Source organism: Homo sapiens, assembly GCF_000001405.40.
Source record: "Homo sapiens chromosome 9 unlocalized genomic scaffold, GRCh38.p14 Primary Assembly HSCHR9_UNLOCALIZED_CTG3".
Taxonomy (NCBI): Eukaryota; Metazoa; Chordata; class Mammalia; order Primates; family Hominidae; genus Homo; species Homo sapiens.
The window spans coordinates 10,008-37,315 of record NT_187374.1 but is presented as its reverse complement, the minus strand read 5'-3'; the positions used below and the strand labels follow the sequence as shown (position 1 = coordinate 37,315).

General features: G+C 33.6%; 1 long non-coding RNA gene across 5 annotated transcripts; it reads left to right on the top strand.

Moving 5' to 3' along the window:
• The first annotated feature begins 11,036 nt into the window (after window positions 1-11,036).
• Window positions 11,037-27,102, top strand: LOC107987370 (uncharacterized). 5 transcript variants are annotated; one of them, XR_001756129.1, is made up of 5 exons: window positions 11,037-11,341; window positions 24,725-24,792; window positions 25,015-25,231; window positions 25,618-25,719; window positions 26,824-27,102. It is a non-coding gene; the product is annotated as an uncharacterized LOC107987370 (long non-coding RNA). The 5 variants fall into 5 exon arrangements; XR_001756128.1 differs by lacking the exon at window positions 26,824-27,102 and having other exon boundaries at window positions 11,037-11,280; window positions 25,618-25,823; XR_001756127.1 differs by lacking the exon at window positions 26,824-27,102 and having other exon boundaries at window positions 25,618-25,823.
• Window positions 27,103-27,308: the final 206 nt, after the last annotated feature.

The window sequence follows — 27,308 nt, the reverse complement described above, 5'->3', positions numbered from 1 at the left end:
AAAATAACAAGGATGTAGTGGAATGAATAAAAATGTATCAAGTCAGCAGCAATAAGGTAAAAATATTAGAAAAGTAATGTTAAATAGTTGTCAGATGGAAGTATATATTTGAGCAAATATTTTGTTAAATAGATGACAAAAAGGTAATATTTATACATTACATATATGTGTTTGTATGTATGTATGTATGTATTTTGAGATATAGTCTTGCCTGTCACCCAGGCTGGTATGCAGTGGCACGATCTCGGCTCACTGCAACCTCTGCCTCCCGGGTTCACACAATTCTCCTGCCTCAACCTCCCGAGTAGTTGGAACTGCAGGCGAGCGCCACCATACCTAGCTAATTTTTTTCTTTTTAGTAGAGACGAGGTTTCACCATGTTGGCCAGGCTGGTCTTGAACTCCTGGCCTTCTGATCCGCCTGCCTCAGCCTCTCAAAGTGCTGGGATTACAGGTGTGAGCCACCGTGCCCAGCCTCACAGATATCTTAAAATTCACCTGATAAAGTTAGGAGCCTCAAGAAAAATTAGCAGAGGAAAATAATAGGTAGTTACTATTTAGGGTAAACTAAACTGTTCTAAGGAATAGAAAATAAAAATTCCATGTCTTCAAAAATAATTCTTCCCTCTCAATCTCTCTGAATATCTCATAAGAGTATTCAGGCCACAGAAATAACTACCATTTAGCCACTCAGAGGCTTATAGTAGTTCTACTAACTTTAACATTTGGCAACCAAAATTACTCTAAGAATCATCACCCAAGTCAGACAAACAGGTAAGATAACAAGAAAAAGTGCTTGTATAAGGATTTAAGACTAAGGCTCAGGGACAGCAAATATTCTATTTGCTAAAACTAAGCCACATGCACACACCAAGCAAGAGAGCCAGGGAAGTGGATAGGCACAGGCAGTCAGTCCACAGAAGAATGAATCAAAGTGCTGAACTTTCATAGAAAAAATCTGTTAAGATTCATGGGTGGTAAAGAAAATACAAATTAAAATAACACAGGAATGTCACCAGAAAAACCATCAAATTGGTAGCATTTAAAGATAACTATAGGACTTATTGTTTCTAGTGTTCTCTCATATATTTCTGGTGAAGAATAATTTATTGTAGAGCTTTATGAAACAATCTGACAATTTATATTGCAATTAATTGTACTTATGCCATCTGACCAAACAATGTAACTCCTAGGCTTTTTGCCTATATGACTAAAATCATATGCACAGTAGTGGTTATTACATTCTTTAGCCCAGTAGCCATTAAATTCCTTGTGCCCTTAAAACCTAAAAGTTCACAGAGAGAAGACCTCTTACTGACTTGTAGAATCTCAATACTACTTATCTTGAAATTTCAGTAAGTGTTAGGTAAAAGAGTTCATTTGGGATAATCACACTATGATAGTCTTTAGCTTTTGAATTGGAATCCAAATTTTAGTTTAGAACAGCAAAGTTTGCGCCTAAAGATTTCATGAAGTAAAAATACTAATTGTGATTACATATCTAAATATTTGCACATCTAAAATTGTCTTTTACTCGTAACCAGAATAAATGATACCTTTTTTTTAAGAAAAAAGAAGAGTAATCTATCTAGAAAATGAAAAAATTAGGCTAAAATGGTGACTTAAGTAATTTAAATGGATATAGATTTATAAAATTAAACTATTTCTCAATTTTGAGAGGAAAAAATCAAGGAAATCAAATATACCTTCTCTTTCTTTTGCCAACAGATGTATGCTGTCTTAATTGATGCTTAATGTATTTTTCCATTACATAATTTTAATATTGTAATAATTATAACAACAGATACGAAATGAAATTTCTGTATATTTATGAAAAATGCTAAAATTGTAAAGTAATTTAAATATATAGGTTTAATTTATTCATATGATTTAAAATTTTATGTCATTTTATTTTATTTCTTAATTATTGCTATAATTAAATGTTAATAAAATGAAGTCTTTAAAAATTCTGATTTGGCCTTGCAATATGCGATTAGAACACTTGTAAAAATGCAAACATATAAATAATGCAAAAATAATATTTGAAAAATGTAATCGTTCTTAATGTTATTGAACATCCAAAAGTTATTGACGAAGTATTCAGAAGCATTTTAGATTATTGTAAAATATTATTTAAATTATATTTAATTAAAAAATGATATACATTACTCAGTAAAAAGAAAAATAATCAAGAAAAGCAAAACTGAAAAGATGAAAATGTTTTAATATTCAAGAAGCAATCTTGTCTTTTTTACTGAATTAAGGGCCTTCCCTGCAATAAAATCGATTATGCTCACATAATAAAGGTATATCTTAATAATTTAAGTGAAGAAATAAAATCTGTCATCACTTTCACTTTCATCTGGAAAATAGTACCTCATAAGTTTTTTCTGTTGTAGACTATAAACATAGAAGCAAATTTATTAACTTGGAACTATTATATAAGGTGCATAATGAGAGTTTGTAAAATGGCAAAATAGTTTTTTCTAGTCCTATAATCAATTTATCATCAGAATAGCCTCAGACTCTATACAGATTCATTCTATAAACAGTATTGGTGAAAAATCAGATGTGTTTCTGTTTTCTGTTTGTTTGTTTGAGACTATCATTGTTGAATATACATCAAGCAAAATAGTTAAAGAAAAGCCTTTGGAGTAACGTGGTAAATTCAATAATATGTATATGTGCACACACACAAATACACATCCCAAACAACCACAAGAGGAATAACAAATTTATAACCCGGATGGGCGCGGTGGCTCATGCCTGTAATCCCAGCACTCTGGGAGGCCGAGGCAGGCAGATCACTTGAGGTCAGGAGTGAGACCAGCCTGGCCAACATGGTGAAACTCCATCTCTACTAAAAATGCAAAAAAATTAGCCAGGGCGTGGTGGTGCGCACCTGTCAGCTACTCAGGAGGCTGAGGCAGGAGAATCGCTTAAACCCAGGAGGTGGAGGTTGCAGGGAGTGGAGATTGCACCACTGCACTTCAACCTGGTTGGCAGAGCAAGACTCTGCCTCAAAAAAAAAATATTATTACCAAAAATCTCACTAATTCTGTACGTCAGCATTTATTAAAATAAGGATAAGAGAGAGCTACTGTAGATATCTCTAAGAAAATAAATAAATGATTATTGAATGTGTAGTTAATCTTCTTTTTGTTTGCCCATTTCTCTTTAGAGCCATGCGCATGAATTGCACTTGCGGGCTGGATTACCAAGGGCTTCTCTGAAATGGCAAAGAAAATAATGTTTGATTTCAAAATGCAATAATAGTAGCTATATGAAAACATGACCTTTGAGAGATTATTCAGCAAATAATATACTTAATGAAACTTGTTTTTTAAGAAATAGATATTTCAGAAAATATGGTACTACATATGATTGTTGCCAAATCATTCTGTATACTTAATGGTTGTTCAGCACTTTCTGTTTTATAAAGTACTTTCAAATATATCAGTTCAGTTAGCTAGTACCCAAATCCTTGATGTAATCACTGTCATATAACATACAAGCAAACTGTGTGTAATGAATCACACTGCAGTTGGAGTACAAGAGTAGGCATCAAGAAAGTGGCAGGTGTGTCATTTTGAATAAAGGCTGTTGTGGGAAAGGTTCCTTCAGACAGATCCCTCTCCCTAGGTATTTATGTGGTGAGAAGAGCGGGTGGGGTTTGTGGAGTAGAGTCCGGGGCTTGTGCATCCTTAATTCAAGTAACAGCACTTGAATTAAAGGTTTATCCTAACTATAAAGCTATACATTTTTCTCATGATGTATTTGAATATATTCTTTTTAAGGAAAGAAAAAAATATAGTCATATAAATTTTCAGGTCCTGAAGTACATGTATGTCACTTATTGCTAGTCTCTTCTGTATTTTATGTGAATGCCACAAACATTTTTAAAATTTTAAAGAAGTAAACATATATGCAACATAGATTTTTAAAATGAGATATATGCCGAAACAAGGCTTTGAGGAGGTATAATGTTCTGAAATGTAATTAGATGACAAATTATTTCTGGTACACATTTCCTAGCACTTATATTTTTCACCCACTCATAAAACAATGTGAAGTAGGTCATACTGAGTCACCAAATTAAACATTCAAATTATTCTACATCTCCAAAAGTAGCCCATAATTAAAAGGAATTTCATATTGGAATAACTGGACCTAATTTGCTTATTCATTAAATTGTGTCCAAGTGTAGTCTCTGAATTATATCAATTAGGGAACGAGAAGGCATACTTAAAAAGAGCTGAATTAACAGTGCAAATAAAGTAACCACTGTGGATACTTTTGAAAATTCTAGTATTAATTTTGTTAGTCAATGCAATGGAAATACATCAGTAGCATAGTAATAAAAAAATTATTTCTTTTTATAGCATCTTTGATAATTATAAAATTAATAAAGATTTATTATTTAAAAACTGAATAATTCCTACATCATTAAAATCACAAGTAACTCCACTGTCTAATTACAAAAACTATTGCGGTTTTTATGTATTTTCTTATCATTTTATTTATTTATAATTGATAGGTGAGTATTAAAATATAGCCTGACATTATTTTATGATTAATAGTTTATTTAAAATATATTATATGATTGTCTATTTAAAATTAAGCCTGTTAAAAATAAAACTATTGATCTTTCCTATCCTCTATTCCCAAATTTGCTCCTCCCAAATTTAAACCCAGGTGAGTAATTCCAACTCTGTTCCTCCCATAGTTCAGGCCAAAACATTGCCAATATCATGGACTTTTGCCTCTAATATACAGGGTTCAAATATATCTTGTTTGCATAGAACAATTTCAATTTATAATTTACATAGTTTATAGTTTAGAACAGCTTCAGCAATAGTTTACATGATACTTTCCTCACTAATTTCCCTGTTTTCTCTTTTGCTATGCTGTGGTCTATTTTCACAGATCAGTCAAACTGTTACTGCTAATTCTTTAAAGAGGCGATTGCTTTTCTGTTTAAAACCCTTCATGGCTGCCAATTAAATAAACAAAGTTCTTACCATTTTCTAAGAAGCTTTATGTGACCATCTCCCCATGGAGTGTGACCTCATCTCCTCTGCTGTATCACATTGGCATCCTTAGTGGAACCTCATGGGTGCGTTCATACACCAAGGCCTCATTTGCTATTTCTGCTCCCTGAAAATATGTTCTCTCAATTATGCTCTTGGCTCATTCTCTCATAACCACTCATTGTATTCAGATGATACCACCCAGTGAGGCTTTCAGCAACCATCTTGTTCAGTATCCAGCACCTCTTGTGCCCAGAACTCTCTATTCCCCTTCTTTGCCACATTTTTTAGAATAGAACTTAAACCATCTGGCATACAACACATGATACTTTGTGGTATTAATTACTGTTTTTCTCCCAACACTGGAACAACAGCTCTGTGAAGCCAAGACATTCTGAATGTTATTTTCACTATTTTTTCCCCAGTCCCTAGAAATGGGCCTAGAATATACATAGTAGATGCTCAATAATTTGTTGGGGAACAAATGAAAGTTGATCCTCAATAATATTTTATAATGAATAGGCTTACAATTTATGAAAAAGCCATAACTTATTTAGCCATCTCCCTAAATTTGCATGCTTTTGTAAGTAATAATATCATGGTTGTGAAAACAATTATGTGTGTATATACATATATGTATATAGTTATTTTATGGCAATGATATACATACATGTATAGTCTTCTGTAATATTTACAGGTGCTTTTGTTTTCCTTGCATTATGCAGCATATATGATTTTATAGCTAGTATTCTGGATGTCCATGAAACATCAATTAAAAAGAAACTAATATTATTAAATAGCAGACCTGTTAAAGTGGTAGTCAAAATATTCTTTCCCCATTATATACCTCAGAGATTTCTGATGAACCCTTTTGAAACCTAATAGTGGCTGTAATCATAATAAATTTTTTCTAGATAGTTTTACAAACAATTTTTAATCTTCAAAATTCAAGGCTAATGTATGCATATTGAATGATTATGGCATTCATATATAAGCTATGTTTAGAACCAGAACTTACCAGTGCTTATATTTATGTGTAGGTATGATAGACAAAGCATAGGAATAACAAGATATCATTAGTTTACTATTTATTAAAAATATGAATAGAACTGGTTTTGCTCTGTAATTTTTGCTATGATAAACCTTAGCCATGAACATAACCTGCTATTGAGCATGTGCGTCATCCATCTTATGACTCACCAAAAATAGGGAAATGAGTCTAGAACCATCAAAGCAATTGACAACAGAAGTGAGATTTCAGCTTGGATGCATTTTATTATAAAAGTAGTATAATTATATTCAAGAATTTGTTAACCTTTTATCTCACTAAATAAATTTCAATATTCATTATAAATAACAAATTCAAGCATTTAAAATATTATTTATATATTCTTAATTTTTATTGTTTGTTTTAATTACACATGTCAATCCTGTTATGGAATGACATCAACATCCCCTTGGCAAGAGGATATTTTTAAATTTCCACATGTACATTTTAAGAGTTTGATACAACCCTATTTATCCATGATTTTCTCTTTCCTATAATTAGTAATTTTCACTGTAGAAGACTCACTTATAAAAGTGTATAGTATTATCATATTTGGATGATAAACTAAAATTTTGAAATATTTAGAAGCATTGTTATGAACTCATTAAAATTATCAGAATCACTTCATATAAAATGATATTTAATATTTTCTTATACATAAATTAGTGACATTGTTTTATACTTTTAATTTAATTTGATTATGAAAACTTTCTATGTGTTTTTGAATTTGTGTAACCTTAGACAGATTGCTAAGCCCATTTCATCATGCATTAATAGAATAGGATTAGATAATCTCTAAGGGTCCTTGGCTCTAAGATTATATGATTGTAATTAATGGCACTGCAGATCTTGTAGAGGGACATTAAAATGGACCCATACCTGAAGTTACTTTTCAATTGAATTAGTACTTAGGGAGTTGAGACAGTAGAAACAAGGAAGGCAAAACAGTCTTTCATAACAGATCATAATAAATTTGCTAATATTATAGAAAGGTCATTGGAAAGTGTTTGTCCTTTCTTTTTTTTTTAATAGGACCTTCCCATTTTCACTTACAGTTTTGAATACATTTATACATTTCCTTCTTCAAATGTCATTTAAATTAAAAGTGTTTCTATTTTCTCCAGATGGAGTTTCAATGCTCGTAAACATTTACATTAGGAGAGAATATAGTACCTATTATCTAACTTAAGTTGAAAAAGAATGAAACTGTAAAATATATTTACCAAAATAACTAAAGATTTATTTACCTTCGGTAGGCCTCAATTAGTTTACCTTTAAAAAGCATTCATTGATACAAATTTTAAAAATCCATGTAACAGACATCAATCAAATGTGATTTTTCTCCAGTTTATTATTTTCTGCCAGGGGAAATAAAATGCAATAATCACATTTTAAATATACATCTTTTTAAATGATTCTGTTGTTATACATGATTGTTATTCATATTTTTACTATTATTGAATGCCCCTGTACTGACCTTTCCAATTTGATAGTGCAGTAAGAAATAAACTTTTTTTTAATATTGAGAATTGGAAATGACCTGGTAATTTCTTTGTACTAGAGACCACTAATTGTGCATATAATGCATTCTTTCATTTTGTTTAGTAATAGAATCCTAAGTACATATGACCACAAGCAGGAGATTACCTTCTATAGTCTCTTATCAGTGATTAATTTTGATCAAATATAATATGAATTATATTATGAGCATAAATTTAAGTTAATCTCCATAAAGGCAAAGCCGATTGTTTTTACATCTCTTCTTACACATTTTACTGTCTGGAATGCAGAAGTATTGCTGAACTTAGCCATGAGGATGAAACACTAAGATAGGATTATAAAGAGAATACAAGATGAAAATCTCCTGGGGCCCGGGATGAACTCATGGAAAAAACATCCCCACCAACTCTCTTAATTGTTGGAGAGAAATATAAGACTACAATAAGGGTCACTCCTTATACTCATCATTTTTGAGTTAGAGATATTGACAATTGTATCAAACTATATATTTTCTCCCACAAGACATTGAGGGACACACTTCTTTTATTCTCCAAAAGTAACAAAAAATGCTTTGGTGTCTAAGTTTTAGCCTGCAAGGACTGTCATAGTGTTGTTTTCAAAGACTTACATGTTTTATTTCCTTACCTCACTGCAACTTATAAATTTATCTTCTATGCTAACATCATGATAGCATCTAATGGTTCCAAGAGTGAAGATTATCACTAGTTTATGAACCTTTGTATTCCCCAAAAGAGAAAGAGATATTACATAACCAAATTCCAAGTATGATTAACCAAGATTTTTCTAAAATTTTCCATCTCTCAATTCTGTCTACTAATTTGAAATAACTGAACAAAATACATTTGCAACATGATAATTCTTCAAACTCGGCTCTTATACCAAGCAGTACTGATGATTGGGGCATTAACAAAACCAATAAAATTGTTTTGCAAAACAAAAACGAAGTGAAAAATATGCTCAGCTTATCTTACACAATATTGTTTTCTACATCGAAAATGGCTAGATAACCTTAGAAAAAGTGGCATATACATTATTTACCTAAAAGTTATAGTAATCTGGGTAGAAGCTTAAAGTGATCTATCCTGTCATATAGTTGTCATTAACTAGGATATTAATTATTCTTAAAAGGATGCAAAATTTTTCCAAGGGATGTGCATCTGCAGACAGTTTTAGGGACTATTGTCAAGAACTGTGAAGGATCTGAGCTTACAAGTTAGCCTGCTTCAGTTTTATGGATGCTGGCAGAAGACACATAACTGTTTGGTCAGAGACAGAAAGACTTCCATTATTTGCAGCACAGCACAGAGTTGCACGAGCTTCATCTTTGCTCTGGTTCCTGTTTTCCCTCAAGTTTACTGGAGATGATGACAAGGAGTTCAAGTTGATGCTACACACAGTTTGTGTCATAGATGAAGAACTCCAAGTAAAGGAAACTTAAATCTTTAATAAATGAGCAGTAAGCACACCTGTCTGATGTTTTCTGTGGAGGAAACACTATCTTCGTTTTACTTGAAAATAAACAAATCTGTTCTCTCATTCATAAATAAACAATATCTTGATCTTCCAGGGCTATCCACTATATAAAGATCTTTAAAAAGGAAAACCTGTAATAAATGTGAAGCTAGTGCCTTTCTATTTGCAAGATGCACAGAAATGCCTGAGACCAATTGAAAATTGCCTGTGAACAAATACGCTTCCAGATTTTTAGCTTGCTCTTTTCTAAACATGAAAATTCTCAGAAGGTACGTGTTCTCAAGATTCATGCCATTTCTTTTTTCCCAAGTTGCTTTATCACGACCATCTTATTTTTCACATTACCAAATAATGCACTTCCCTAAACTATCCAAAATTTTCCATGGTGTTATAGTTTCTAAGGTACTGAGAAGAAACTCATAGGTGCAGCATATTTATAAATTGTTTACAAAATAATATTGAATACATATTTTCTCCTTTTCCCTGTCACTAGTAACTTTTTCTCTGCTTGATTAATTCATATCACATATTTAATAGCCCAATTTATTCAGAACATACTGAGAGGTGAAGCCCGCTGGACTTCCTAGGTGGAGTGGGGACTTGGAGAACTTTTTTGTCTAGCAAGAGGATTGTAAAATGCACCAATCAGTGCTCTGTAGCTAGCAAGAGGATTGTGAAATGCACCAATCAGCGCTCTGTAAAATGCACCAATCAGCGCTCTGTAAAATGCACCAATCAGCAGGATCCTAAAAGTAGCCAATTGCAGGGAGGATTGAAAAAAAGGGCACTCTGATAGGACAAAAATAGAACATGGGAGGGGCCAATACGTGAATAAAAGCTGGCCACCCCCCAGCCAGCAGCGGCAATCTGCTGGTGTCACCTTCCATGCTGTGGAAGCTTTCTCCTTTTGCTCTTCACAATAAACCTTGCTACCGCTCACTCGTCGGGTCCACGTGATCTTTAAGATCTGTAACACGGGAAAGGTCCATGACTCCATTCTTGAAGTCAGCGAGACCACGAACCCACCAAACCCACAGGCAGGAACCAACTCCGGACATAATACCACATGGCAGTCTCTGTTCTGAGCATTGATGTGTACAGGTTATTTACTTCTCATAAGAACACTGAAAGATAATTGCTACTTACTGGCTCCTTCTTAAGATGAGTAAGCTAGAGATAGATACTCATGATTTGCTCAAGACTTCAGAACTTGTCTGTGGCAGAGCAGAGATGAGAATTAAATTTGCTAGCCACCATTTCTTGGAATTTAAACACATTGTTACGCCACCTCTTAGTATATGTAATTAATGACATGCAGTTCACAGAATTATGTTATTTAAATTATATTGGACAGAAATAAAAAAGTACGGTTGACACTTGAACAACATGAGCTTGAGCTGTGTGCATCCCCTTATATAGAGATTCTTTTAATTAAAAAAAATCAGCATCTGCATTGAAATGTGGATCAAAATACAGTAGCCACAGGATGAAAAACCCGCAGATATGGAGGACTGACTTTTTGTATACTCTGGTTCCACAGGATTACTTGAATATGTGCTGATTTTGGTATCCTCTGGGGTCCTGGACCCAATCTCTTGAGGATATCAAGGGACCACTGTATTTTTATTTAAAATGACAAGAGTAGAGAATATATGCAGATATATCCCGAGGAACATCTTTTAGGTATATGCTTTTCTATTTTAATTCTTCTTAAAAAAAACACACACATCTTAGAACTTACAATGTATCGATACAAAAATGTGGCCATTATTTATGTAGGAAAAGTTTATATACTCCTCTGGAGGGTAGGAAATGAGATTGCAGTGCACATGGGGTTCTGCCACTCACAGTGTAGGATGTTTCACCATGTCTTCCTGAAATGATTTGCAAATAGTCAAGAACAAATGACTGTGGTGATAGAGATGTATTTATTGCTGCCACCTTGTTCCCACTTCACCATTGCATATTTGTACACAGGACACATATTTATTCTTTTAAGTTTAGATTTTACTGAGAAATGAGGACCTTATCTGGACTTCACTGGGAGAATTATGAGTGGCCAGAGATACTACATTTTGAGCTGGATGCCAGACCTTGAAAGAACTCTGCATTTTTCATTTTGAGAGAAGTCAGTGTGTTTTATAATGGGAGGAAGATTAAAGCAGGTATTTTGGCATCAGAAGGACTGACCTTGACAGAGATTGGTGAGGTAACATTATTTCCTTCTTTGGACCACAAGAAAATGCTGTATTTTTCAGCCTCAATTGCAGGTAGGATGAGACCATTTCACTGGTGAATGAAATGTAGGTAGAAGTTATATTTCCCACTTTTAGACTGAGCTATAAGATACCTCATGCAATGCTTCTCATACTCCTCTTTATATTAAATGCAGAGTATTCTGTGAAAACGTTTAAGGAATTTCAGAAAGTTAATCCTCTACTGAATTATTATATGAATGAGAAGAAAAAAAATTGTGTTAAGTCACAGATATTTGCAGTTTGGTTCAGAAACTAATATTAATTGCCCTGACTAATATACTGAGATACTGGTGATGATTCTGCAATGACTGCTTTTACAGTGAAAGTGACCACAGTAGCATGCATGGATAAATTTAAGGTGATAAACATTAGGATTGCTTACATATTTTTTGGCTTCTTCACACACATGGTAGGATATAGCTCACTGCCCTGTTTAATTCAGTTATGGAATGTGATTTCCTTTTGCTTATTGAAATGTTAGTAGACTAAAGTGTCTGTTTCCTTCTAGAGGCAAAAATTCAGAGCGTGCCTCACAACATTCTTTTTTTCCTCGACTACAGTAACTTTCAATGTTCTGGAGTGGCTGCTTTGTCCTCTAGATCCTGGTATAAAGGTGACAATGACCCATGAGTAGAATCATAAGCAACACCAAGGACATGTGAAATGAGCAACTTATGAATGAATTGATATAGGCTCCTGACATTTAGAAATTGTTTTGTTATCACTCAGCTTAGTTTTTCTGATGTAATTTAATTGCTCTAAGGAAACAGTATCTGCTGTGATTTGTTACTGTCTCTTACTGCCCAGTGGTTGGCAAGGCCAAAAGTTCTAGACATGGCAGTATTCTGAGAGTTGAGAGCCAATATATTTTCTTGGCAGTGCTCATGCTCATGGTGCACTTGAAGTTGTGTTGATGCTGCCATAGGAGCACCACAAGCCAACCTTGTTTCTTCCATGGTTGCACTCTTTATGTATTCAATTACAGACCTCAGGTGTGTCTGACATGAAATAAACATACGCAGGCATCATGATGGTAATCAACTGATTGCTTCAATGTGCTGGTCTTTGTAGGTCTTGAGAGTATCAACCTGGAAAAACAAGCTTTTAACTTTAATAATTTCAGCAAGTTAATATAAAGGGAAGTTCCACATATAGGTCTGGATCAAGTTTTTCTATGAAGTAGTTGCCAATTAGAAAAGTTTCCTAAACAATTAACCCTAGCAAAAAATTGTGTAAAGATTCCATTCACTTATTACACAAAACAGTATATTTTATGAGTGCTACCTTCTACTTTGTCCATTAGATAAAAGGTCTCTTCACCCTTCTTTTGTCGTGTTTTGCCTAAATATTTGGGCATAAAGCTATAACCCATCATTCCCTTTTGAAAACAAAGAATAATAACCAAAGTAATATAATCTAAACCTGCTTTAAAGTCCAAGTGTAGTTTATGTTATATGTTCCTGTAATTATTTGTCATCTGTGGCTCAAATCCCTTTTACTAAAATACTTTGCACTTCACCATAAACAAACTTGTGCAAACAAACAAGACACAGAAGCGATATAAAACTCCCAAAATCAAGTTACTAAGTTTCAGTAACAAATAAACCTGAATGTATAATTAAATAGATTATAATAATGCTGAAAATTCTGTATTTTAGGTTCTTTATGATCTAGAGTTCTTCACATGTATGGTTTACTAAAACCATTCCAAGTGCTATATTTCTTGCTAATAAAACCAAATAACAATGTTCAGGGTAAATTTTAATGAATTAATGCTTATGATGCAAACTATGCTTTCATCTATTTTATTCAGAAGCACACGATTAATTATACAACAGATATTTTATATGAATGTTCAGAGTAAAGACTATTTTTATTTGCTTGAATGACAACATAACTTATTAAATGAATAAATACACGGATTCGTCTTCTCCATCACCATTTCAGGCATGTTTTTGTGACATCTACCTTCTTCACCATGAACTCCTTCCTAACCAACCATTATATCTAAAATAAATTATCAGCAAACATAAATAATGTGCTATTCCAGAACTACCTCACATGAGCTAGATGATGGGAGGCATAATTCATAATAAACAGACCCTACCTTTAAATTCTATAAAGCCACAGCATTTAAATTCTAACTATGCCACAGAGCAGTAACCTATTCTCCTATTAATTATATCCCATAAAAGCAATATACCTTCACTAATTAATTATACTTGAAGTAACAACTATGGCTTAATTAAATGAACCATTCCTAATAATGAAACCTTAAAATAATTGGACTCTTCTGTCTAGAGGCAGTAACAATTATTGTCATTGGAAAGGATTTCAAACATGGCTATGCTAAGCAAAGCTGATTCATAACTGACATTGAACCTGAGATTTCCTAGAGCAGTAGCTCTCAAAACCTTTCGTGAAGGGCCAACTATTAAGTATTTTAGAATGTACGTGCCATGTGATCTCTGTCACAAGTACCAGTATTTGCCATCGTAGTGCATAAGTATCCATAAACAATAAGTAAAATAAAAGGATGTCACTTTATTCTAATAAAACTTTGTTTACCAAAATGCATCAGTGGCCTGATTAGCTCTGTGCTTTGTAGTTTGATGACCTCTTATATAGAATTGAATTATTGAACTCATCTCTACTATGTTTCTAGATTTTCTAGTATTGTATTCTAGGTTTCTATCTTTCTCATCTATCCATCTTAATAGTTAAGTTTTACAAACCCTTATCATATATAATATTATTTAAATTATATTAATCTGCATTTAACACACATCTTTCTCTATTTTGTAATTTAGCATTTTTGAGCCATTAAAGTTTAAATTACAGTAGAGATGTAGACATTATGTAAAGGTATATTACTTTATTGTATATGTTCATAAAAGACAATAATGGCCACATTGAAATGACACAATACGATCCACCAAAAGCAAGTAAGGCAGAGATTGTGTACATAAGTAACCAAGTACAAGTTCTGTCCTTTAAGTGAACCCCTACGTCATTATTATTCCCTTATGGTGGAAATTCCAGAAGTAGATAGCACATAAATTTTACATCTTCTTATCTGATATATGGATACCTTTTTTATCAAGTATTCCTTTTTTTTTCTTTTTTCTGAGATGGAATCTCGCTCTGTCGCCCAGGCTGGAGTGCAGTGGCACGATCTCGGCTCACTGCAAGCTCTGCCTCCCGGGTTCACGCCATTCTCCTGCCTCAGCCTCCGCCCGACTAGCTGGCACTACAGGTGCCCATCACCACGCCTGACTAATTTTTCCTATTTTTAGTAGAGACAGGGTTTCACCCTGTTAGCCAGAATGGTCTCAATCTCCTGACTTCATAACCGCCCACCTCGGCCTCCCAAAGTGCTGGGATTAGAAGCGTGAGCCACCGCGCCCAGCCCATATGCCTTCTTTTATTCATGGTTTACTAATTATAATATTCTATTTATATAATTGAGAATTCCTTGTTCCGTTTTTCTTTCTCATTTTCTTTCATCCTAGTCAATCATTTTCAGTCAAAATGTGTATATATATGTGTGTATGTGTATATATATGTGTGTATATATAGGTGTATATATATGTGTATATATATGTGTGTGTGTATATATGTGTGTGTATATATGTGTGTATATATGTGTATATATATGTGTGTATATATGTGTGTATATATATGTGTGTGTATATATATGTGTATATATATGTGTATATATATATGCGTATATATATATAGATGGGAAAGAAATACAGAGCAATCTAGGAAGCATTGTGAAAAAATGGTGTGAACGTATGCATCAAAAAGTAATATTACAATTTTATTCAGTATCCCATCCAAACTTTTCTCCTGCAGGACTTTCATGCTTGCTATTGTCAAATCTTCTCCCTTCTGCATAACTTTATCTTCTCTATTATTGCTATTGTCACATAAATGTGCTTTTATATATCACATTAGAAAAATAGTCATTCTCCTCAGTCTACATGTCTCACAAATATAGAACTACTTTTTTTTCTTCTTTAGAGCAAACTTTCTCAAAAGTATTCAGAAAAGTACAATGTGTAAAACAAGCAGCAAGAGAGGACATCTGTGTTAGGGTGAATAATGGCCTCAAGAGATGTCAGGTCTTAATCCTTAGTACCTGTAAATGTAACCTTTATGGCAAAGAGACTTGCAGATGTGAATAAGTGAAGAATTTTGTGATGGAAGATTATCATGAATTATCTTGGTGGGCTCTAAATGCAATCTTAAGTGTCCTTATAAGAGTGAGGGAGAGGGAGATTTGACATAGAATCTAGGTTATGTGATCATGGAAGTGGAGAAATATTTGAAAATTATACGCTGCTATCTTTGAAGATAGAAGAAGGGGCCTATGAGACAAGAAATGTAGTTCTAGAAGCTGCGTTTCTGGAATAATTTCTAGAATTACTCTCCCCTGAGTTCTCTGGAAAAAATAGGGTGCTGATCACACCTTGGTTTTAGACCACTGATACTGATTATGAATTTTTGGCCTTCAGAAGTATAAGAGAAAAAGTCTGTGTTGCTTTAAGCTACCCATTTTGTGGCAATTTGTTACAGCAGCATAGGAAAATAACAGAGAATCTCTTCTTGTTCCCAGGTTTAAAAGCAAGTCTTCTAACATTCCCACATTATTATGTCATAACATATTGTTTATAGGATTTCAAAAGATACACTTTATCAACTTAATTAAGTGCCTTTTAAATCCTAGTTTAATAAGAGCATATATATATACAGTAAATTAATGATGAATTTTATCAAATACTTCTTTGTATCAATATCTGTTAGGATACAGATCTTAACGTATCTGCATCTACTGAAATTATGTGATTTTTCTCATTTACTCTGTGAATGTGATGAATAATATTCTTTTTAATTGAATCTCAATTATAGAGAATTGAATTAATCATCATTTTGATTAATGACATACTTTCATCTTATGCCTATTCATGGTCATCTTTTATATGTAGGTAATTAAATAATAACTTTTTCAGTGTTGGAAGCAACCAGCATATAGCACCCTGCATAAAAGCTAAAACCTGAAGAATGACCACATTTAGCCATATAGTTTCTCACTCCCATCTCATCCTCTGTAATTACCAGTGTTTGAACCACAACCTCTTTCTTCTCTAAACCACTAGCTGAAATCTAAACTCAGCACTCCAACCTCCCATTTATTGATTTCTGCTAGGCTTCTTGACGTCTCACCTTGTGCATACATATCTTTGATACTGGCCACACTTAAGGGACATTTGTATGCAGATATTCAGGCTCTCTCTCTGTGGTTACCTCCTTCTTGGAAATTTGTCTCATGAGCCCCATACACACTAGATACTCTGAACTCTAATCTCTGTCACCTCAACACAGTAAAATTTCACTTTCTGTATATGCTTTCTTTCTTCACATCACTATTTGGGAAATGTTATTAGAGGAAAAACGTCTGAGTGAATGTAATTTATAGTCTATAATTATTTCTTTTTAATAATAATCCCACTCAAGCTCTGTATACATTGATTGTTCTCCCGTGTCTTCCAATAATTGTCTAACATATTTTGCCCAGCTTTTATAGCCAACTTCAGGGTGTGAGTTTGTGCTACTTTATCATGACCTGAACCTGAAATCCTCTAATTTTATTGAAATGGATGGTTATTGTAGTTCATGTTGCATTTCTTGTGTTTCCAATAAGTTTTTAGATTTTCTATTTCTCCACAATTCTGGAATTAAGAATCCATTTGTTTCATTCTAATCTAGTTTCTTATACATAATGCTAAAGGGAGTGTTGTTTCAATGACTGTCAATAACTTCTACGTGGGCACCATTCACATTTCCCAAAGTCTCAGCAGCATTTCAAATTGTTGAAAATTTCTTCCTCTTCAAAACATTATTCATTATAGAGTTCTTTAAAAATATACCAACCTTGCTTTTCTTCTTGCCACCTCAGCTTTTTATTCCCAACTTAATTGCAACACATTTTTTTTTCAGCTCATTTGGCATTAATTTCTATTGTCTGTTTCAACCCTTCCTTGGTGATTTAACAATAAAAATAAATAATTCCTTTAAAGGGCTCATAAGTGTCGGTAACTCCCATAGCTTTACTTTTACCTTTGCCTATTCTCCAACCTTCAGACTTAGACACAAAGTTGTTTAATTACCATCTTGCATTTCTCTCATGCCAAACATCCACATGACTGATAGTCCTGTTATTTCTTTCTTCAAAGTATATATCAAATGCATTCACTCTTTCCATCGCCATTGCTACTATTACTGTTTTAGTCAATTCTGACTGCTATCACAAAGACCTATAGACTAGGTGGCTTAGAAATAACAAAAATCAATTTTTTCACAGTTCTAAAGGCTAGAAGTCTGAGACCATGGTACCAGAGTGACCAGGTTTCAGTGATATCTCTCTTCTAAGTTGCAGACTACCATTTTCTTCTTGTATCCTCACATGCCAGAGAGTGAGAGAACTCTCTTGGGTCTATTGTATAGGGGAACTAGTTCCATTTAGAAGGGCTCCAACCTCATGATGTAACCACCTCCTGAAAGTCCCACCTCCTAATACCATCATATTAAGGGTTAGGATTTCCACCTATAAGTTTCAGAGACAGGGTGGCAACAGACATGCAGTCCATTGCAATCAGTATCCAAGACATTACCATCATCATTATCTCCATTCCTTATTTTTTATTATTATTATTATACTTTAAGTCTTAGGGTACATGTGCACAATGTGCAGGTTAGTTACATATGTATACATGTGCCATGTTGGTGTGCTGCACCCATTAACTCGTCAATTAGCATTAGGTGTATCTCCTAAAGCTATCCCTTCCCCCTCCCCCCACCCCACCACAGTCCCCAGAGTGTGATGTTCCCCTTCCTGTGTCCATGTGTTCTCATTGTTCAATTCCCACCTATGAGTGAGAATATGCAGTGTTTGGTTTTTTGTTCTTGCGATAGTTTACTGAGAATGATGATTTCCAATTTCATCCACGTCCCTACAAAGGACATGAACTCATCATTTTTTATGGCTGCATAGTATTCCATGGTGTATATATGCCACATTTTCTTAATCCAGTCTATCATTGTTGGACATTTGGGTTGGTTCCAAGTCTTTACTATTGTGAATAGTGCCGCAGTAAACATACGTGTGCATGTGTCTTCATAGCCGCATGATTTATAGTTCTTTGGGTATATACCCAGTAATGGGATGGCTGGGTCAAATGGTATTTCTAGTTCTAGATCCCTGAGGAATCGCCACACTGACTTCCACAGTGGTTGAACTAGTTTACAGTCCCACCAGCAGTGTAAAAGTGTTCCTATTTCTCCACATCCTCTCCAGCACCTGTTGTTTCCTGACTTTTTAATGATTGCCACTCTAACTGGTGTGAGATGGTATCTCATTGTGGTTTTGATTTGCATTTCTCTGATGGCCAGTGATGGTGAGCATTTTTTCATGTGTTTTTTGGCTGCATAAATGTCTTCTTTTGAGAAGTGTCTGTTCATATCCTTTGCCCACTTTTTGATGGGGTTGTTTGTTTTTTTCTTGTCAATTTGTTTGAGTTCACTGTAGATTCTGGTTATTAGCCCTTTGACAGATGAGTAGGTTGCGAAAATTTTCTCCCATTCTGTAGGTTGCCTGTTCACTCTGATGGTAGTTTCTTTTGCTGTGCAGAACTCCTTAGTTTAATTAGATCCCATTTGTCAATTTTGGATTTTGTTGCCATTGCTTTTGGTGTTTTAGACATGAAGTCCTTGCCCATGCCTGTGTCCTGAATGGTAATGCCTAGGTTTTCTTCTAGGGTTTTTATGGTTTTAGGTCTAACGTTTAAGTCCTTAATCCATCTTGAATTGATTTTTGTATAAGGTGTAAGGAAGGGATCCAGTTTCAGCTTTCTACATATGGCTAGCCAGTTTTCCCAGCACCATTTATTAAATAGGGAATCCTTTCCCCATTTCTTGTTTTTCTCAGGTTTGTCAAAGATCAGATAGTTGTAGATATGCGGCATTATTTCGGAAGGCTCTGTTCTGTTACATTGATCTATATGTCTGTTTTGGTACCAGTACCATGCTGTTTTGGTTACTGTAGCCTTGTAGTATAGTTTGAAGTCAGGTAGCATGATGCCTCCAGCTTTGTTCTTTTGGCTTAGCATTGACTTGGCAATGCGGGCTCTTTTTTGGTTTCATATGAACTTTAAAGTAGTTTTTTCCAATTCTGTGAAGAAAGTCATTGGTAGCTTGATGGGGATGGCATTGAATCTATAAATTACCTTGGGCAGTATGGCCATTTTCACAATATTGATTCTTCCTACCCATGAGCATGGAATGTTCTTTCATTTGTTTGTATCCTCTTTTATTTCATTGAGCAGCGGTTTGTAGTTCTCCCTGAAGAGGTCCTTCACATCCCTTGTAAGTTGGATTCCTAGGTATTTTATTCTCTTTGAAGGAATTGTGAATGGGAGTTCACTCATGATTTGGCTCTCTGTCAGTCTGTTATTGGTGTATAAGAATGCTTGTGATTTTTGTACATTGATTTTGTATCCTGAGACTTTGCTGAAGTTGCTTATCAGCTTAAGGAGATTTTGGGCTGAGACAATGGAGTTTTCTAGATATACAATCATGTCATCTGCAAACAGGGACAATTTGATTTCCTCTTTTCCTAATTGAATACCCTTTATTTCCTTCCCCTGCCTAATTACCCTGGCCAGAACTTCCAACACTATGTTGAATATGAGTGGTGAAAGAGGGCATCCCTGTCTTGTGCCAGTTTTCAAAGGGAATGCTTCCAGTTTTTGCCCATTCAGTATGATATCATTATCTCCATTCTATATTTGGATAATAGTCTCTGCCTTTGTCTTCTTGCATTTATTCTTTTCCCCTAAAGTGATTCTTCAAAGAGTAATGTCAAAGAGAACCAGAGCCAGAGGGTAATTAAAGCAGTAAAGAAAGATTTTATTCAGAAATTATTGCAACACAGGAAAAGAGACTTTAGTAGAGAAAGGAGCTCAATTCCAAATACAAGCACACATGGAAATTTATAGCAAAAGAGCAGTGTGAGGGGGTCAGTGGATGGAAAATTACTAAGAGGAGACATCAAAAGTAGGGGAACTCTTGCTAAACCAAATTAACAGGATTCTTGCTGAAGGCAGCTCAGGGTGATCAGATATCAAGATTCTGTCTATATGGACTTAAGGATTCTTGTTAAAAGTGAGCTATGGAGACTAGGCAAGGGGCCTAGGTGAAGATCTAGTTGAGAGGAGAGCTCAAAAATCTGACTAAAGTTTGATGAAGGAGAGAGTCTTTGTCAGTATTTGTGTTAATTTTTTTTAATTAGTAAAAGTGAGGCTTATTTGCATTCTTCAAGGACTTACCAATTAATAAGCTATGTTAAAATCTCCAGTTTTAATGTCTATTTCTTCTTTCTGCTTTATGAAAATTGTAATTTTGTGTATGTTATTAATATATATTTTATTTTTAATGTAGAATGAAGCATGAATCCTTCTGTAGAATAAATTTCCCTTCCTTATCCTGTTAAATTTATTTTGTCTTAAATTCTATCTTGTCTCATAGCAAAATTCTGACAACTATTTCAGGATCTTGCTATCATACAAGATCTATCTTTGCTCTTCCTTTTACATTAAACCATTCTGAATTGCCTTGTTCAATATGTTTCTTGCACACAGAATAGATTGGATTCTGCTCCATTAGCCAATCTAAAAGTATGCCATTTAATGGTGAGTTAAGCCCATTTGTGTCTTTGATATACCTGTTATGCTGGTGTTAAGTTCTGTTATATAAGTTTTTGCTATATAAATAATTTATATAAAATCTTGCCCTGTATTTACACTTTAATTTGAGGGGCAGGATATACTCATTTGGTATTTATAAATGTTTCTATGTTTATTCTTATTATTATCTTATAATAATATTATAATAAAATATACTAGTCCTCTAGTGTGTTTGAATACTGTCTATTGATTTCTTCAATGAGTAGTAATACTGTATTCTAGTAAACTTTCTTTCCTTTCTTCTCTCTTTTTGCTTAACATTTACTTTAATTCCATATTTTTTTAATGGCAGTTAGATACTCCTGAGATAGTCATTAAGATTCGTCTACTTTCTTTTTCTTCTCCTTTTTTCCATTTGTTGTTGAGTTGCATTATTTCTTCATGTTTAACACACTTAATAGCATCATGTTTTGTCACTTTAATCCCCATTACTTGTTCTTAATTATAAAATTAAACATATTTAGTCCTTATCCAGAAGCTTCACATGATGTTTGTCTTCTTGTCAGTAGGTAGGACATTTCTAAAAAAGCCATCACAGGAACAATGTTTCTTAAAATCATAAATATTCATGATGTTCTACATTCCTTAGACATGATTCATAGTTTGGTTGAATAAAATCTCATCTCGCTACTGTGTTATCTGTTTCATAATCATTAAACCATTTCTTGATTATCATCTTGTATAAAATGTTGCTATCAAGAAGTCTATTATCAATATAAACTTCTTATCCTTTTACCTTCATGCTCAAATAATTAATATTATTTTTTATTTTAATTTTTGTTCTTAGAAATAACCGTTACATGGGTATTACTATTCTTTGCCTAAGTTCTATGTTTAGAAAATTTTTAGATGTTTTTAATCTCTCAATTTCTGTTTTTTACTCTTATTTTTATACTCTATATCTCTTACTATAGTTCGTACCACTTCTATTTGATTTTATGTACCTTCAAATTTTTTTTTTCTAAAAACTATTTTCTAAAAATTATCTTACTTGTCTCAGATTATCTGATTCTCTGATTAATTTTGATTTTGTTCCAGTTGTTTTTCTTCAGGGTAAGTATTTTTCTTTTGGGAGTGAGCATTATTGATGATTTCTTGTTGTAGTTTATTGATATTAAGATCTTACAATACTTCCTTTTATCTTCATTTTATCTTTGCCATTAAGTCCAGCTGGTACTGGCCCTATGCTGCCAATGATTAGGACAATTACTCTTGTATCCTGGGTTTTATGCTGATTATTTGTCACCTGTTTTAGTTGGTGATGTCACCCATGGGTTTTTCAGTTACTTCTCCTAACTCCTCTGCCTGGTGTTTGGTACAGATCCAGACATAAATGAAAGAAAAGGAGATAGATAGATAGATGGATAGATAGGTGATAGATAGATAGATAGGCTAGATTAGATAGATAAATAGATAGATAGATACATATTTACCTATATACTTACATACCATAGTTTGCTGCTGAGAGTCTCTCCAGTTTATTTTATTTAATATTCTCATAACCTAGAAGCTATTCTCTACAATGATAAAATAATCCGGCCGGGCGCGGTGGCTCACGCCTGTAATCCCAGCACTTTGGGAGGCCGAGGCGGGCGGATCACGAGGTCAGGGGATCGAGACCATCCCGGCTAAAACGGTGAAACCCCGTCTCTACTAAAAATACAAAAAAATTAGCCGGGCGTAGTGGCGGGAGCCTGTAGTCCCAGCTACTTGGGAGGCTGAGGCAGGAGAATGGCGTGAACCCGGGAGGCGGAGCTTGCAGTGAGCCGAGATCCCGCCACTGTACTCCAGCCTGGGCGACAGAGCGAGACTCCGTCTCAAAAAAAAAAAAAATAATAATCCAACTCTCAGGCAATACTGAGCAAAATATAGCGTAATTAATATCTCAACATACTTGACCCTATATTTTATATGAAAATAAATGAGGCCAGGCGCAAAGTCTCATGCCTATAATCCCAGCACTTTGGGAGGCCGAGGCGGGTGGATCACTTGAGGTCAGGTGTTCGAGACTAGCCTGACCAACATGGTGAAATCCCGTGTCTATTAAAAAAAAAACACAAAAATTAGCCAGGCATGTTGGTGCATGCCTGTAAGCCCAGCTACTTGGCAGGCTGAGGCAGGAGAATTGCTTGAACCTGGGAGGTGGAGGTTGCAGTGAGCCGAGATCATGCCATTGCACTCCAACTTGGGCAACAAGAGCAAAAAATCTCTGAAAAAAAAAAGAGTAAAACACTGGTTGCTCTCTGTTTTAGTAATATGTTACTTGTTAGGTAAATGTGATACATATTAAGTAAAGTGGGATTTTTCTTAGAGAAGATATTTATCTCTATTGAGGTAGCAAAATAAATATATATAGATTGAATGAATTTGTCTCCTTTTAAGTTTAAATAAGAAATGGGTGTGTGTGTTTTTTTGGACTATTCCTATTTTTCCTGGCTTATTCATATTCTAATTCCTCTTGTTTATATAATTATTCACTTTGATCACCTCATATATCTTATCTTTTTTGGGTAGCCTAAAAGCAAAAATATTCTTACAGTCTAGTCAGCATTTGCTGTGCTTTCTTATTATTGTACTTGTTTAGCACAAACTTGATGCTGATTCTACTTCTCATTCTTCATGACAAAACAAGTGGAAAAAATATCTGGGAACTGGCTCTGTGACATGGCTAAATAACACTAAAATGAGTCTTGTGCTCTTAATCTATGAAATGGGAATAATAAAAATAGCAAGTCTGTAATCACTGCTATATGAAAACTCCGAGTTTTATGAGTGCTTCTGGGAATACCTAGTAAAGAAAACATATCTGTGTGCTTTATCTTTTAATAGTTAAAAACAGTTTTGACAATAAGTAGTTTATATTTATTAGTTATTATAATATGTATAATTGTAAATAGTTTATCGGTATTAGTTATTATAATATACATGTACATATAACACATTCATATAAACTATAAGTAGTTTATACGTATTAGTAATTATAATATACCTATTATAATAACTAAGAATAGAAAGGCAATGTAGAAACTAAGAGTTATATAATACCCATAGTAATTAATCAATAAGCAAATACTATTTTTAGTATTTTTATACTATTTGTATATGTATTCATTACTTTATGTATATAATTCTTTATATAATTCTTAGGTTCTATAATACCTTTATTCTGTATATTTTGAATTATGTATTTAATAGCCTAATATATTTCTAATTTGCAGAAAACAAGGAAAATTGTCTTCCTTCAATTATTATAAGTATGCTTTTCTTTATCCAGGGAGGCTAAAAGGCAAGATCATAACAAGCTATTATATGGAAAATTATTTCTTCAAAATATTCCTTTTAAAATTGAGGCAACAGAATCATTTTTCCCTCTCATTGTATTTTTAATTTAAAATTGTTTCAACAACAATATGTAGATTGCCAGTTCAAGTTCTCAGGTGTAAGAAGACTCACATTTCTTTGTTATACAATACAATATAAATATAAAGTAAAACATTATATTAAAATGAACGTTTTATAATATTTGGACATTAATATCTCAGCCTTTCATTAGCATATTATTTGAAGAAAGGCATTCACTTTTTCACAGGTTACTTCCTTGCTCCTGAAAATGATGATGTTCTATTTTCTACTATTTGTGTCTAAAAATTTAAACAGGTTAGTATATCCTCTGCATAAATGCTGCAAAATACAATGTACAATAATTTTGTTAAAATTACTAAATGTTAGTAAAAAATTTGATTAGTTTTCTTAATAATTGTTTCCTTATTTTTCATATCTATATATACAATCATTCTAAAGTTAAGAACTGACTACTCTCTTGATAATGGAGAAATCTTTCAACACACAAAAACAAAATTTTTATTGTCTTTCAAATAGGTCCTGAGAAGAGGATTAGAAAAAGGCAACACATCAAAAAGTTAAGAGGCAGAAATAGCTTTTATGTTGCTGGTAAATTTAATGAGATCTTAAGTTATTCGACTGGCAAGTCTCATCTCTTTGAGCATCTCAGTGAAGACTGTCAGAAATCATCAAAATTCAACACAACAGAGTAAAAGCTAATAGCCTTTTTGTTATACCAAAACTGAAAGGATTGGTAAGACTCAAAATGAATGCTATTACTGAAAATCTTCTTTTATCTAATTCTTTGTGCAGTGAGTGAAATTGAACAAATACATATCCTTTTTATGGTGTTAAAATGAATTCTGACACTATTAAACAAATATTCTTTGGTCCTAAGACCTCCTCAATACTTCTTTCACAAAAAGTATTATTAGAATAGCCTATGTGACTCTAGTTCATAATATTCTGGCTATCATTTGATTATTTTCTGTGAAATAAAAATGAAGCACTCTATTTTTTAAAAAATACTGTGTTTTGATGAAGAAGGAAGTTTTTGAGTGGTTATCACATTAGAGAAATTTTTATTGTAATCAACCTTTGATAATTTCTGACATGATTAATATTTATCTTCTTTTCTAGATGTTCTTAAGTAACAAAAAGCAATAAAGATAAAATACAGGACATCAAAGATATCACATACATTCATATATCTCAAGAAATGAAAGCAATGAAAGAGCTGTGGTATGATCCATATTTTTTGTTTGTTGACAACTAATGCAAAATTCCAAACAATAATGAAGCAACTACAGATTTGGGGAAAATAATAAATCAGAAAGAGCAATTGAGAGAGCCTTTTTAGAAAAAAGTTTTCTCCTTTGGAATTATGTTACATTTTGAGTAATTATTATGATAGTCAACCATTAATTTATACATTTGTTTTTAATTTAACATATATTTTGAGTATTAAATATATCAGGCACTATTATAGGTGCTTGTGCTAATTAACAACCAGTTTTCTAGAATGTGTAAAGTGCCATAGAAAATACCTCTTGGGTTCTATGCTCACTACCTGGATGATGGGTTCAGTCATACCCCAAACCTCAGCATCATGCAGTATACTCTGTAACAAACCCTCACATATATCCTCAAATCTAAAAGTTGAAATTTAAAAAAATAAAAATAAAAAGCAAATGATTATATTAAGTATATTAACTAAAACAAAACTAAGTGATTCTGTTTTAGAAAAAGAATTTAGAAATGAAGGGGAGTGGAGACTAGAATAACACTTATGGTGTTCAATCAGAATCAAAACTATCAATATATACTTAAGTTTACTTTTTTTCTACGTTAGATAGAAATTGAAAAGAATGTGTAGATATATAAATAGACCTAGATGCACATGTTTGTGTGTGAATGTGTATATATATATATATATTTTTTTTTTTTTTTGAGATGGAGTCTTTCTCTGTCACCCAGCTTGGAGTGCAGTGGCCTGATCTTGGCTCACTGCAAGCTCTGCCTCCTGGATTCATGCCATTCTCCTGCCTCAGTCTCCCAAGTAGCTGGGACTACAGGCACCTGCCACCACGCCCAGCTAATGTTTTTGTATTTTTAGTAGAGACGGGGTTTCACCGTGTTAGCCAGGATGGTCTCAATCTTCTGACCTCATAATCCGCCCATCTTGGCCTCCCAAAGTGCTGGGATTACAGGTGTGAGCCACAGCGCCCGGCCGAATGTGTGTATATTTCTTAATTTTAACCACTAAGACTAGAAGCAATAACATTTTAATAGCAATCAGCACATCTAGCATTCAAATCTTGGATTCACTTTTTTCTTCGTTAAAAGGATACAGAGCTGCTTGGATCAATGCCTGATTCTAGGTGCATGCGGCAGAAAGAACAAAATGGGTCTGAGACATCTGTTGTTGTTAAGAAAATAAGGAAGTCTCAACTAATGATGGAGACATGCCAAAGAACATAGGAGCTAACTAGAAGTGGCTCTCAGTGACACAAACTGAGATAAATTGAGCAAGGGAATAAATAATGATGGCAATAGATTATTCAGATTAATTAAACCAAATACACATGAATCCACACTAATATAAATAAATAATTGGATAAATAAGAAAAGTGGGACAAAGGAAAGCTTTTCCATACAGTAGAATTCTAATCAATAAATATAGAAAGAATAGTGGAAATAGATTCTCATTTCTTGGCAAATACCATATAATTGTTGCAGACAAGTCTGCTAAAATTAGTGGATACAATTATGAGAAACAAGATATTTACATAATCTCCAAGTATCTCTCAACAAAATACTGATTTTAAAAA